This window comes from Homo sapiens, chromosome X (assembly GCF_000001405.40).
Source record: "Homo sapiens chromosome X, GRCh38.p14 Primary Assembly".
Taxonomy (NCBI): domain Eukaryota; kingdom Metazoa; phylum Chordata; class Mammalia; order Primates; family Hominidae; genus Homo; species Homo sapiens.
The window spans coordinates 152,128,806-152,142,509 of NC_000023.11; the positions used below are offsets into that span (position 1 = coordinate 152,128,806).

Consider the following 13,704-nt stretch of genomic DNA (forward strand, 5'->3'; position numbering starts at 1 on the left):
TGTTTGTTTTTAATTTTAATCAGGTAATCTATATCCTTCCTGGTTTCCTGCTTACTTTTTCTCTGAAATACTGAGAAACAATTCAGAGAGTTTTGACAAATATATAGTCCCATGAAATCACAACCACAGTGAAGGCGCAAAATATATTCATCATCCCCAAAAGTTTCTTCCTGTGCTTTTGCAGTAAAACCACTCCTTCAGTAGAAGTGACCTGAGGTGAGCAGAAGTGAGCATCTGCCAACCATGAGCACTTTCCCTATTAACAAAGGCAGGTGGGCACAGAAAGTGGCAGTTGCTTTCACACACAGGCAGCATTGAGGAAGAAAATCAGATCAATAGTGTCATAGAAGGCCAGCTTACTGGCCTGGTCATAGGCTGTCCCTCCCTTTCTTGTGTAAGGCCTGCCTCCAAGTCTGGCTCTGCCTTCCTGGCCTCCCTGGCTCAAATGAGTGACTCATACCACCTCACCATCTCCCCTACATCCCCCACATACTGGATTAAGGGCCTTATCACTTTGTTTTGTTACCTCATGTTTCCTCAGCATGTATTCAACAAAAGTTTGCTGGATGAATGAATGAATGAATGAATGAAATTACCAGGCATGAGAATTCACTGATTCAAAGTGTGGAGCCTGCCCCTGTGTGGGCCTCCTGCCTCCATGAAGAAACCCACAGTTCCCTTACCTGTGCTTGCTTCATTTCAGAATTCTTGTGGAAAATACCACGACAGGGTCACTGCAGACTCCTTCTCCTCAGGCCCAAACAGTGTCTTGGAGGTGAGGATGCTCCCAACAGGATAGTGCATGATGCTTTTTGTGGGGAAAAGAAAGAGAGATCAAATTGTTACTGTGTCTGTGTAGAAAGAAGTAGACATAGGAGACTCCATTTTGTTCCGTACTAAGAAAAATTCTTCTGCCTTGGGATGCTGTTAATCTATAACCTTACCCCCAGCCCCGTGCTCTCTGAAACATGTGCTGTGTCCACTCAGGGTTAAATGGATTAAGGGCGGTGCAAGATGTGCTTTGTTAAACAAATGCTTGAAGGCAGCATGCAGGTTAAGAGTCATCACCACTCCCTAATCTCAAGTACCCAGGAACACAAACAGTGCGGAAGGCTGCAGGGACCTCTGCCTAGGAAAGCCAGGTATTGTCCAAGGATTCTCCCCATGTGATAGTCTGAAATATGGCCTCGTGGGAAGGGAAAGACCTGACCATCCCCCAGCCCGACACCCGTAAAGGGTCTGTGCTGAGGAGGATTAGTATAAGAGGAAGGAATGCCTCTTTGCAGTTGAGACAAGAAGAAGGCATCTGTCTCCTGCCTGTCCCTGGGCAATGGAATGTCTCGGTATAAAACCCGATTGTATTTTCCATCTACTGAGATAGGGGAAAACTGCCTTAGGGCTGGAGTTGGAACATGCGGGCAGCAATACTGCTCTTTAAGGCATTGAGATGTTTATGTGTATGCATATCTAAAGCACAGCACTTAATTCTTTACCTTGTCTATGATGCAGAGACCTTTGTTCAGGTGTTTATCTGCTGACCTCTCCACTATTGTCCTATGACCCTGCCACATCCTCCTCTCTGAGAAACACTCAAGAATGATCAATAAATACTAAGGGAACTCAGAGGCCTGCGGGATCCTCCATATGCTGAACGCTGGTCCCCTGGGCCCCCTTATTTCTTTCTCTATACTTTGTCTCTGTGTCTTTTTCTTTTCCAAGTCTCTCGTTCCACCTAACGAGAAACACCCACAGGTGTGGAGGGGCAACCCACCCCTTCAGCTTTTTGCATTGCATCCCACATGTTCTGTCAGTTTAACAATGAAGGGTGCCATCTTCACAGGGTTTCCATCCAACTTGCCCATGTCCACACCTTTGGCCAGCCCTCTACCCCAGACAGTGTCTGGTGGCAACACAGGCCAGTGATTGCAGTCCCAAGACACCTGTCCCCTTGTATGCCAAGAGCTCAGAAGACACAGGAGGCCATCTGAGTCAGGGACACCAGCTGGATCATTTTCAAGGCATGTCCACACAAGCCCTTCATCTGCAGAGTCTGAGCTGATTAGTCCCAGGTCACTTTTCCTCCAATTTCCCCTCCATGCAGCCCCACTACCACCTTCCACTGATCATTGGCATTCCTGGTGAGTCTCAGCTGTTGATCATCAGTCAGCAACCCACACACATAGCCCAACCTCTATGGAGGTTCCCCAGGGGATAATTCATCAGCTCAAGTAGGCATAAAGACAGGTCCCAGCCCTGGGATGCTGGCAAGGGTGCACAGGACCACTGGAGTGGTCAAGAGAGGTAGCTCACCCAGAATGATGCAGGGAGCCAGCCATACTCTTCCTGACAGAGGGAGGGGAATCTTGAATGAGCATAAGGTGTCCAACATGCCGCTGATGCATTCAGCCAACAGGCCTGCCCATTCAGATCACACAGCCACATCCTGTTGATGATGATAGTGTCCAGATTTCTCAAGCCTATCCCTGTTTGTTGCCGTGTCCTCCTTCACCACTTCCCACTTCTCTCCCTCAGGTCTCTGCCCCCACCGGGCTGAAATCTGGATTCAGAGCTCTCAGTGGCAGCCTGCCTGGGGCTCTGTGGACTTGATTTCACATGTGGTCTCTCTCGTGGACTCTGGTAATTGCTCTTCCCTGCATCCTCCTAATGCCCCTTGCCAGCCGAGGGTGTCCTGTCTGCTCTCCTTCCCCGGCTCCTGACTAAATCCTTTGAAAGCAGAGGAGAAGTTGAAAGGCCCTTTCAACATAAATTTCTACATAAATTTGACTTTGGGCACTGATATTTAGACATCTGCTATAAGAGAGATTTCCAGGAATGGGACAGAACACTCAGAGTACTTCTGCAGAGTGTAGGCATGCTCTGTGTCACAGGGTGAGCAGGCGATTCTAGGCTTCTCTACTGTGTTCTGGGCACAGCCTTTAGCAGAGACCACAGTGACAAGCTAGGCAGCAATCCAAGTTCCAGATTTGGGTAGGAGGGAACACTGGGGACAACCAGGGGAAGGGTGCTGTAATGTGGGGAAGTGCTGGCTCTGAACAGAAATGCCAGCTCCTGGGTACAGTCAGCTCTCAAGGAACCCTGGGGATTGACACAGTAGGTCCCTGGATTAATAAGGTCCACAGGCCACCCTGAAATGGTGTTTGATTCTCATTGTCACCTTCTCTAGGCCTACGACTGCTACCTTGGCCTCAGAGTCCCTATTTTTGTCACCTGAGAGACATGGTACAGTGCTGAGAAGAGAAATGAAGTACTATTCAAGAGGTCGGCCTCAGGCTGGGAGGAGTGGGAACAGCATGGGCTCTACAGGAATTCAGACCCACCAGGAGTCTGGTTCCAGCCCTATTCCTTACTAGCCATGTGATTCTGGGAAATGCCCAAGTCCTGTGAGCCTTGGGTTCTTTATCTGTGAAGCAGGTGTGATAAGCCCTGTCCATTAGGACTACTGGAGTGTGTGCAATATAAGTGAAGAACCTGGCTCAGGGCCTGGCATAGTTAGAAGTTTAATGAATGGCAGATGGCTGTTATTTCTAATATTATTTGACCTCAGACCCCACCACAGTCTTCTCTGGAATTTTTGTCATTGTTATCCAGTACATCTCAGAATATGCAGCTCAGTGGAACATGGAATCCCAAATCAGTCACAAATGTTGCTTCACATATAAAACTCAGTAAATTTTCCCTCTTAGAGGATATATTTTCAACATTTCATGTGCAGGAGTTTCTCCCTGCTGGATGCTGCTCAAAGTTCATGGAATTTGAGTCAAGTATCAACTCCTTCCCTCTCTCCAAGGTTCTTTTCCATCCAAATCATGATTTTCATTCATTTCATCACCACTCAAAATCTAGCCCTTGCTTAGTGTTGTTCAAATTACACTAAAAATAACCCAATTAAAATGTTTCTCTAATGGAGTCAGCTAACTTCTAGGCATCAATTCATAGGCTTATTTATTATGAGATCCTTATCTCTCAGGAGACCCTTGCATATGATGGGTATCTATCACCTAGTTATTTTTTTAATTTAATTAGGAGTTCAACTGCACTGAGACAAGAGTGCAGAACACCTTCCATTCCTGCCCCAGGTGGACTCCTCTCTGTTCATCCACCACCCAAAAGGAACTGCTCAGAGCAGTTTTACATCCCAGGATTTGCTCTGTCAACTATGTGAGGCTCTGACCCTGGCACCACCCAGCTTCTTTGGATTCATCTTCACCAGAAGGAACTGCAGTTTCTCAAAGCCCCAAAAGTCCTGGCTCAGAGGATGTACGTGACCACTCTCACCTACAGCCCAATACCCTCACCCCGTCTTACTTTTCTTCTGGGTCTTAGAGGACATCTTGCCACCTTGTTACTTGACTGCAGCCCCTAGACTCTACCACCCTATGGGTAAAGGTGGTTCTGGCTTAACATTTCCACTACAGACCCAGGGCCTTCCACAGACCAGATGCTCAGTGGATGTTTGGGGAAAAAATGCACTAGTGAGCAAAGGTTTCATTTATTACAGTTTAATTTCGACTTAACAAGATCCAGGGATATAACTTTTAATTTTGCAGGATGATAAACTAAAAATAATAAAGAAATAAAAATACTAACACTTAAAATTATTTTCTCTATTTTACTATTTTTTTCATATTTCCAAGAAAATTACTATTCCAATTCCATGTTATTTTATTACAGATTACAAATATGATGGAAGGGTTCCCAATTTGTTTTACAAAATAGCAAAACTGTTTCTTAAACTGGATAAACAGAAACGAACGTGTGACCTTAGATTCTGAAGCTCATAAACATTCTAGTAAAAGTAACAACATTTTAAAATACCAAGAAGAGGCTGGGTGCAGTGGCTCACACCTGTTATCCCAGCACTTTGGGAGGCTGAGGCGGGCAGATTACCTGAGGTCAGGAGTTTGAGACCAGCCTGGCCAACATGGTGAAACCCCATCTCTACTAAAAAATACAAAATTAGCCGGGTATGGTGGTGCACACTTGTAATCCCAGCTACTCAGGAGACTGAGGCAGGAGAATCGCTTGAACCCAGGAGGCGGAAGTTGCAGTGAGCCGAGACTGCACCACTGCACTCCTGCCAGAGCAATAGAGTGAGACTTTGTTAAAAAAAAAAAAAGAAGAAGAAGAAAAAGAAAATAAAATACCAAGAAGAAAAGAAAAGAAGTCCCCAGGTTATCCAAAGAAAACAGTAAGACAAAGATGTTATGCACTGTATTTTCCTCAGCCTCAGCCTGGCCCTCCACCACATACATCATTGATTTCCATTCTCATTTGTTTTCATAAATTAAAAAAAAACAAAAACATAAACAAAAACTGACATGTAATTGTAGATATTTATGAGGTACAATTTGATGTTCTGATTCATGTATATGTAGTATAATGATCAAATCAGGTAGTGTATCCATCACCTCATGCATTTATCATTTCTTTTTGGTGACAATATTGAAAAGCCTTCCTTCTAGCTGTTTTGTAATATACAATATCTTAATGTTAACTATAGTCATCCTACTGTGCAATAGAACACTAGAACTTATTCCTCCTATTTAATTGTAATGTAACTACTGCTCTACTCTCTACTTCCATGATACCAACTTTTTTTTTTTTTTTTTTTAGATTCCACATATGAGTAAAATCATGTGGTATTTGACTTGCCTTTTAAAACACAGTGAAGAATCTGTCTTACTTTATTCAGGGTAGGAGAAGCTACCTGTAGCGCTAGAACTTGCACTGGCCATGGCAGTAGTATCATCTGTGGTGGCAATTCTGTCCTGGGCTCTCTCTTCCTCATCTTTCAAAGCCTCCTCATACCACAGTGGGAAGGATCTTGGATCACTCCCATTTACCTTGGCCAAAAATTTCAGGAGACTCATCTTCCTAATTTCAGCATGAGCCCTTGGACCCCACAGAAACTCATACCGTGCAGGATCACTGCCAGGCACCTGCCGGTACTCCAGGTAGTTTTCCTGCACCCAATCTTGGGTGAGCAGCTTCCTGGGCTCCCCATAAATGAGGTGCTCCATCCCATCATACAGCCCCATCATATTCAGTGCTTCCCAGATGACCTCCTCAGGGGTGCAGTAGCCCTCTATGAAGACTATGCTTAGGATAAGTATGAGAATGCCAGTCTTGGGCATGCTCTGGACATCACTCAGCATCCCATCATAGGTGAGGCCCAGGGAGGTGACAAGGACAAAGGAGTGGCCAGTGGGATCCACTTCCTTTACATCAATGCCAAAGACCAGCAGCATGCACTCGGAGGCTTCACTAAACAACAAAGGGAAGTGGTCTTCATAATTTCTTATGACACTCTCCAGTATTTCTGCCTTTGTGATCGGCTCCTTCATTTGATACTTGAAGAGCAGAAACTGCACCAAATCAGTCACCTTTTCATCTATCTCACTTCTGGGTAAAGACTCACTGTCTGGCAGGACCTGTAGGGTGCTTGGACTCTCCTCCTTTTGGCTGCTGGAGCCCTCATCAGATTGATCTAATGGAAGGGAAGCAACGACCGAGGGGGAGGAGCAGGCTATCTGAGCACTCTGGGGAGGATTTGGTGTCTCATCATCAGCAGAAACCTCCTCTGGGGTGCTTGGTATTAGAGGATAGCAGGAGGAGGAGGAGGAAGAGGAGGAGGAGGGAAAAGAGGATGGAAAAGAGGAGCTGGTGGAAGTGGATGATGAAGCATCCTCCTCCACAGCCAGGGGAGCCTGTGCACCCTCGAGGCCCTGTGTCTCACTTTGGGATTGAAGATCTTCTTCAGGCATGCAGCGCTGACGCTTTGGAGCTCGAGGCATGATGACTCTGATCAGGGTAGCAGGTGGGAGTGTGGGCAGGACTTGGGCGATGGGGACCCACAGGCCTGGGGAGAGAGGGAGGGTGTAAGTGGCCACAGCTGAGAACCACACCCTGGAGGTTCTAACAAAGGCCAACTTACAGGTCTTCTCCTTCAGTGCTGCTCTGTGGTGTCCCACAGCTCTTGACCTCTTGCTCTCCCTGTCCCCTGAGAACCTGAAGAAGGAAGTGAGAGATGGCTCCTCAGGATGCAGCCGGCAGAGGCCAAGGCTCCAGGACTGACAGTAGGGTAGGTGGAGCTGATGCAGTGGGGTCCACTTTGTCCTGGAGCAGGTGGGGCCCTTGGTACACATTCAGGGCATGCACCTCACCTTGACTCCTGGCACTGTCTGGGCCCTTTCTGCTCTGTGACCTGAAAACACTGCCTTAGACCAAGGCCTCACCTCACAGTCCCTGGAGCTCCTGAAAGAGGAATTGAGGGGCCCTCAGGGTTCAGGCTGCAAGCACAGCCCCAGCCTCCCAGTGTTGTCAGGAGGGTGGGCTGGACTCTGTGAGTTCCCCACTACCCTGGGGTGGGGAGCCTCTGTGCTCACGTGGGGCTCTCACCTTTCTCCTGGAAAAGCCTAGACCCTGCTCCTTTGCTGGTCTAAGAAACTCTCAGATCAAAAGCTTACATCCCTGATACGAAATAGAAGACATGAGGGGACCCACATCTGGCCACAACTGCAGAGGTCCTCCCAGAAAAGACAGCAAGAGGTGGCCATATTCAGCTGGGTCCATGTGTACTGGGGTGAGGAGCCTGCTTGGTCCTCTTCTTGATGCCTGATACGACCTGGGACCCTCCCTTTGTTGATCTGAGGCCACTTCCTTAAACCAAGGTCCTACCTCCAGGAGACATGGAAAGAGGAAGTGAGGGGAGTCCATCTACCCCCAGTTCCCCATGAATTCCCGTGGCTGACAGAAGGGGTAGGGTGGGGCTGAGTCCTGTGCGTTTGGAGAATGGTGTCCCCTCAGTCCTCACCTTGACTCCTGGCAGGGTCTGGGACCCTCCCTCTGCTGACCCGAGTGCAGCTCCCTTAGACCAACACCTCTCCCTCCCAGAGACCAGTGATCCTTGTATAAGACAGGGAGACTCAGCGGACAGCCCTGACTGGGTTCTCCAGAGTGACAGTAGGGTCATGGCAGATTTCTGTGGGGACCCCATCTGTGTTATGGGCTGGGGGTACCCTCAGATTTCCCTCAGGTTCCTTACCTGGACTCTTGTCAGATCCTGCGACCCACTGTGTCTGTAGAAAAGAGGGGTTCCCTGTGTTGACTTGAGTCACCCTCTGAGAGCAAGGTTCTCACCTCCCTGAGATTCCAAAACAAAAGTAAGAAGGAGCCACATCCTGTCATCCCTGTGGGGTGTCCAGGGCTGATATCTCCCCTTTACACCAAAACTCCATTTCCCTGAGGGTTCCTCATCTTCCTGCCTGTGGTAAAATTGAGCTTGCCACTTAGTGCCAATCCTGATCAGGTCCCCTCAGAGCTAAGAACAGGGGACAGCCAGACTCTGTGACATCCCTTCTTTCTGGGCTGCAGGTACCTCCAGTCCTCACTAAGGGGGCACCCCTTGGGTCCTGCAGATTCTGGGACTCCTCCCTCTGTTGACCAAGTGTGGAACCCTGTAATAACTTCTTAGCAACCCTCAGACCAAGGTCCTCACCTCCCTGAGACCCGGCAGGCAGAAGTGGGGAGGGGCACCACACGATCACACCTGCATGGGATTCCCAAAGCTGACAGAAGGAGCAGACATTTGGCGGGGGGGGGGGGGGGGGTGGTGGGCAGGGGAGGGGGACAAGACGGGGACTTCCTTTATTTGGGTGTCCTCCAGGTATTCAGATTTACTCCCGACAGGGCCCAGCCCTTTCCCTCCTGCTGAATCGTGTATGGGTCTTGCACGCCAAAGCCACCATCTCCCTGGGATCCCCGGTGAGAAAGTGGGGGCCACTTCTCTTCCTCACCGTCCTGCCTGGGGTTCCAGAGCTGATAAGAGGGACAGATTTCCTAGTTCTGAGATGCGGGGATCTGCTGAGTCCTCCCTCAGGGCTCTGGGACTCCTCCCTCTGCTGACCTGAGGCTCCACTCCTCAGACCATAGCCCTCTCCTCATTGACACCCCAAAGGCACAGCAAAGACACATCACATGGGCCACCGTGCCTGAAACCACCCAGGGCTGAGGTCCCCACTGATCTGGACTCCAAGGTCCCTTGAGTCCTTTCTCTTCTTCCTCCCCTTGACTCTTGGCTGGGTTGTTCTCCTCTACCACGCCCCGCCGCAGACCTGAGTCACCGTCCCTTGGATTCCTCAGGCCGAGTGAAGAGACATCTCGGTCTGAGACAGAGGTGGGGTGGGCACCCTGTCCTGGGATCCCTTCATGCCTCCCTCATTTCCCAGCAGGGCCCGGGCCTTCCCTCTGCTCCCCTGAAGCCGCATTCTTGGTACCAATATCCCCTTCCCTACGTCAGCCTCAGATGCCGACGTCAGAATTTGCGTTCCTGGTCGCCATGACCAGGGCTTCCCAGGGCCGACATCAGGGGCAGAGCCCTCCCTGAGCGTCCCGACATTGATGCTGGCAGAACCTAGGCGCGGCTCCCGCCGAACCAGCCGGGCCCTGGTCACACCAAGCTCTGACTCCCAGAGTCCCCTGCGGCTTAAGCGGCGGGAGAGAGTGGGGGCGGGGGTGGGGGGGGGGTGACAGCCCAGCCTGAGAAGTCTGCCCTCAGGTGGTCCAGAGCTGGCAGCAGAGGCAGCGCTGTATTATTTAGGGCTTTCTATCTGGGTTGGGGGCGTCCTCAGTCCTCCCTCAGCCTCTCACCTTGCCTCCTCACAGAGCCTGGGCCCGCTCTCTTCAGCCGATCTCAAGCCTGTCCCTCAGAACGAGAACCTCGCTTCTCTCTGATCCCCGAGGCGTAAGTTAGTGGCGTCACATCCGGTCCCCGGGGCTTCCCTGGGTTGACAGCAGGGGCGGAGTGGATTCTGCCGGAACTGGGGTGGGAGTTGGGGTGGGAGTGAGGGTGGGAGTCCGGGTGGGGTGGGGTACGGGTGAGGATGGGGTTGGGGCAGGGGTGGTGGTGAAGATGAGTGTGGGGAGGGGCGTGGAGGTGGGAACTGGGATGGGGATCTTGGGGCTGTGGGTCGTGGTGGGGGTGGGGGTGGGGTCTTTCAGTCATCCCTCAGTGTCTCGACCTTGATGCCTGGAAAAGCCTGGACCCCTGTTTTGTGCTGAGGATGTCTTCTCCCCTTAAACCAGGTCTCTTGACTCGGAGTCTTCCAAGGTGGCAGTGAGGGGAGGGTTGTGGTAGGGGTGACAACATTGCCAGGGTCTTCCAGGGCTGACAAGAGGGGCTCAGCTGGATTCTGTGGCCCCTTTGTGAGGGGTGGGTGGACCCTCGGTCCTCACTCAGGAGGGTCTTCCTCCTGGCTTTTGTCTCTTTGATGAAGTGATGGGTGGGAGATGCTCAGTTTCCGTCACCTCTGATCATTTGCCCAGCTGCATCCCTTGCAGAGCATGGGTGCGGTTCCCAGGCCAGATGGTCCCTGGGGAGCTGCAACACCCGTGATTGTAATGACCTATGGGAGAAGACGCACACCTTCCCAACGGGGCTCTTCCCAAGCCACAAGTAGACTTGGCAAACTTTTTGTCCTAAAGGGTATATTTTCTACAAGAAAGAGGCTGAGCATCGGGGTGTGGAGAGGTCCTGCTGTTTTGAGTTTAGCTGATATTTTATAGTCCAATGCAGTGATGTCTGGTTTTCTAACCCTCATTCCTAGTAAAAATATGTGTTTTAAATGTCTGCCAAGTGTATATTGAATACATATATAACATTTCATGAAAGAATACCTACCTTACGCTGTGTGGTTCACTGCTTATTCTATTTCTGGTCTATTCTTTATATTCTATTATAATAATTTTTCTCTTTTTTTCTGAGCAAGAAAATTTAATATAAAGAATTATTAACTTGTAGCAGAGGATCAACTAAGACCAGTCGTCACTGTGGTGGTTTTAGGTGGTTAGCAGCATAGACTCCGGAGTCATACTCCCTCAATCAACCCCGTCTTTCCTGCTGTCCTGATATCACTCCAGAGCTACTGGGCTACTGGCATCGTGGTATGAAGTGTTGCCTCAGATTGTGCAATAAAGCAGGGCCAGAAATTCAAATATTTCTTCCTACTCGTCCTCTTATTTGCCGTCTATGCAGGCTGCGGACCTCCGCAAATGCACTGTTGTCCTCCACTCCCCCTACTCCAAACACAAGGTCCAATTCGAAATTCTGCAGTCTGCTTAGGGTTCTATCATGTTTTGCTGTGTAGAATTTGTTGAGTGTTGATAATGTTTTTTCCCTTCTCCCCTCCAGGATTGATTCTGGAGTGTAAGTCAGCAATATGAACTTGATGCTCATTTTGGCCTAAAGGTAAGGCACTAATTCTGTAAATAATTTAAGGAAAATTCACGCCTTTAAAATATTCTGTTCTCCATTAATGGATATGGTATAATGCTTTATTTATTTGGGACTTCTTTCACCTGAATCTATCAGCAAACTTTTACAGTTGACTCCAGTAAGATCCTGCTCATTTTTGTTAGGATTATCTTTAAGGTAATTTTAGGAGTTTTTTGCTGTTTTTAATGGGATATTTTCTATTGTATGTTCTATTTACTGTTTTTTTATGACCAGTTTCTTGATTTTGCTATAATGAGCTTCCATAAAACATTTTTCTTCTGAAGTCTTTTATTCATTTAAATATTCCACATGCTTATTCCTTTGACTATTCGTTAAAGATAACATTGTCTCCAAACATCTCTCTTTTCAAAATTCATGCATCTTATTTAGTTTGATACCCATAGCTCTGGCTATGTGTTTCAGTGCAGTTTTGAACAGTAGAGAAGGTAGCATACATTTTTGTCTTGTTCCTGGCTTTTATGGAAATTCTTATAACATTTCACATTTAAGTGCGTTTGCTATAGATTTTAAGTAATGCAAGTTCTATTCTAATGTTAGTTTACTTTTTTTTTTTTTTTACCATTATCTTGTGTTAAACTTCTTTGAAATGCTTTTTATGTAGCCATTGACATAATCAAGTGTTTTTTCTCCTCTAATTTGTTTACAGGGAATTACAATTAAAAGCATTTTCTAATGTTAAATCATAATTTTTATTCCTTGGACAGAGCTTGTTTGTTCAGTTAATATACTTCTATGTTGAATATGCTATTAAATTATTTAGAATATTTGCTGCTATGTGAGAGAGCTTGGCTCAAGCATTCTTTTCACTGGTTGCTCTCATCTGGTATTTGAATCAAAGAGTGCTGGCCTGGCAAAATGAGTTGAATAATTACCCATCTTTTTGTATGCTTTGGAAGAGTTTACATAAGATGGTAATTTGTTTCTCCATGATCATTTGGTATAACTGGCCTCCCAAACTGCCTTATCCTGGAACATTTGGCAGTGGCTTGAGTTTTGAATACTGTACAGTTTCAGTTTGTATTGTTTGATTAAACCTGTAAGTGATCAATTTCACTTAGGATTTCAAATTTAATGGCATGATATTTACAATAAAAAGTTTTTATTACAGATATTCTCAACATATACGACAGTAAAGAGAATAGTATAATGAACCAATATACCAGACACTTAGCATCAACAATTTTCAATACATTGTCCAATCTGGTTCTAATTTTACTCTTACCTACTTCCATCTCTTGCTACCGTAATGATTTGAGGCATATCCCAGACATCATATCATTTTGTTTCTAATTATTTCATATGCTTTTATAAAAGATAAGAACTCTTTTGTGAAACATAAATTCAATGTAATTATATTTCCTAACAGTTTAAATGAGTAATCATCAAATGCCCAGATAATTTCCATATTTACCTGGCAGACATATACTTTAAAAATTAGTTTCTTTGAATCAGTGTTTAAATATGATCTAATCAGTGAAATTATTGGTTATATCGCTTAGTCTTTTTTAATCTATAATTTCTCTGACTATTAATCTTTTTTTCCTTGCAACTTAAAACAAGACAAAACAAAAAAATAAACAGGTCTTGTATTTTGTCTAGTTTCCCATAGTATGGATTTTGCTCAATGCAGCACTTGTGGTGTCCCTTAAGAAGTTTTTCAGATCTTACTTTCTGACACTACAAAATGCTCCAGGCTCATTTTATATGCAGTTCTCCCTCAGCATCCCTGGGGGATTGGTTTCAGGAACTTCCATGGTATCAGAACATCTCATGTACCCCATAAAATATACATTTACTTTGTACCCACAAAACTTTTTTTAAAAGGACCTCCCATGAACACCAGAATTTGCGGATGCTCAATCTTTTATACAAAATGGTATAACATTTGCATATAACTTGTGCACATCCTTTCATATACTTTAAGTTATCTCTAGATTACTTATAATACCTAATATGATGTAAATGCAATGTAAAAAAGTTGTTACTCTGTATTGTTTAGGGCATAAGGACAAGAAAATAAAAGTCTGTACATGTTATGAACAGATCCAGTTTTTTTTGCGTATTTTTGATCTTTGGATTTTTAAATCCATGGATGTGGAATCCACAGAGGGGCAACTGTATTTCATGCCCCAGTCTCAGAATCAGCCATTTCTCCAAGGAGCCCTAATTATTTTTACTAGATGATGGTTTTAGAAACTCACATCTTAGTTCTAGGTGGGCTTGTTGCTACTGGGGGAGTTGTTACTTATAGCCTTTCTCAGTTCACAGAGCAATGAAATATATATGTGTGTCTACACACACCTATAAATATTTGGATATGTAACCATCTGTAACTATATTAAACCGAACATGACTTTATGCTGACGTCTCCAACTCTAATCCATTACAAC

At 46.4% G+C, this 13,704-nt stretch overlaps 2 protein-coding genes across 4 annotated transcripts in view, besides 1 other annotated feature; both read right to left on the reverse strand.

Annotated features, from left to right (window-relative positions):
- Positions 1-1,195: part of an enhancer, noted in NCBI's record as "CDK7 strongly-dependent group 2 enhancer chrX:151297273-151298472 (GRCh37/hg19 assembly coordinates)", that runs on past the window's edge. NCBI's record gives its function as "activates an origin of replication core promoter dependent on BRD2, BRD4, P300/CBP, MED14 and CDK7 cofactors, with strong dependence on CDK7, by STARR-seq in HCT116 cells {active_cell/tissue: HCT116}" and the evidence as "EXISTENCE:reporter gene assay evidence [ECO:0000049][PMID:35650434]".
- LOC100533997 (MAGEA10-MAGEA5 readthrough) overlaps positions 1-9,772 on the reverse strand; it is a 24,529-nt gene extending 14,757 nt beyond the window's left edge. Inside the window, exons 1-2 of the mRNA NM_001204811.3 lie at positions 9,670-9,772; positions 684-808 (exon numbers count right to left, since the gene is read on the reverse strand). The gene's annotated coding sequence lies outside the window, so the exon portion shown is untranslated. The remainder of the gene's footprint in view (positions 1-683; positions 809-9,669) is intronic.
- MAGEA10 (MAGE family member A10) lies at positions 4,505-9,772 on the reverse strand. 3 transcript variants are annotated; one of them, NM_001251828.2, is made up of 5 exons: positions 9,670-9,772; positions 8,066-8,164; positions 7,257-7,275; positions 6,956-7,029; positions 4,505-6,880 (listed from the first exon to the last, which is right to left on the reverse strand). In NM_001251828.2, exon 5 carries the CDS (start codon positions 6,813-6,815, stop codon positions 5,706-5,708), a length of 1,110 nt encoding a protein of 369 aa, NP_001238757.2. In that variant the 5' UTR covers positions 6,816-6,880; positions 6,956-7,029; positions 7,257-7,275; positions 8,066-8,164; positions 9,670-9,772; the 3' UTR covers positions 4,505-5,705. The 3 variants fall into 3 exon arrangements, with proteins under 3 accessions (NP_001238757.2, NP_001011543.3, NP_066386.3); NM_001011543.3 differs by having other exon boundaries at positions 7,185-7,275; NM_021048.5 differs by lacking the exon at positions 7,257-7,275.
- Positions 9,773-13,704: the final 3,932 nt, after the last annotated feature.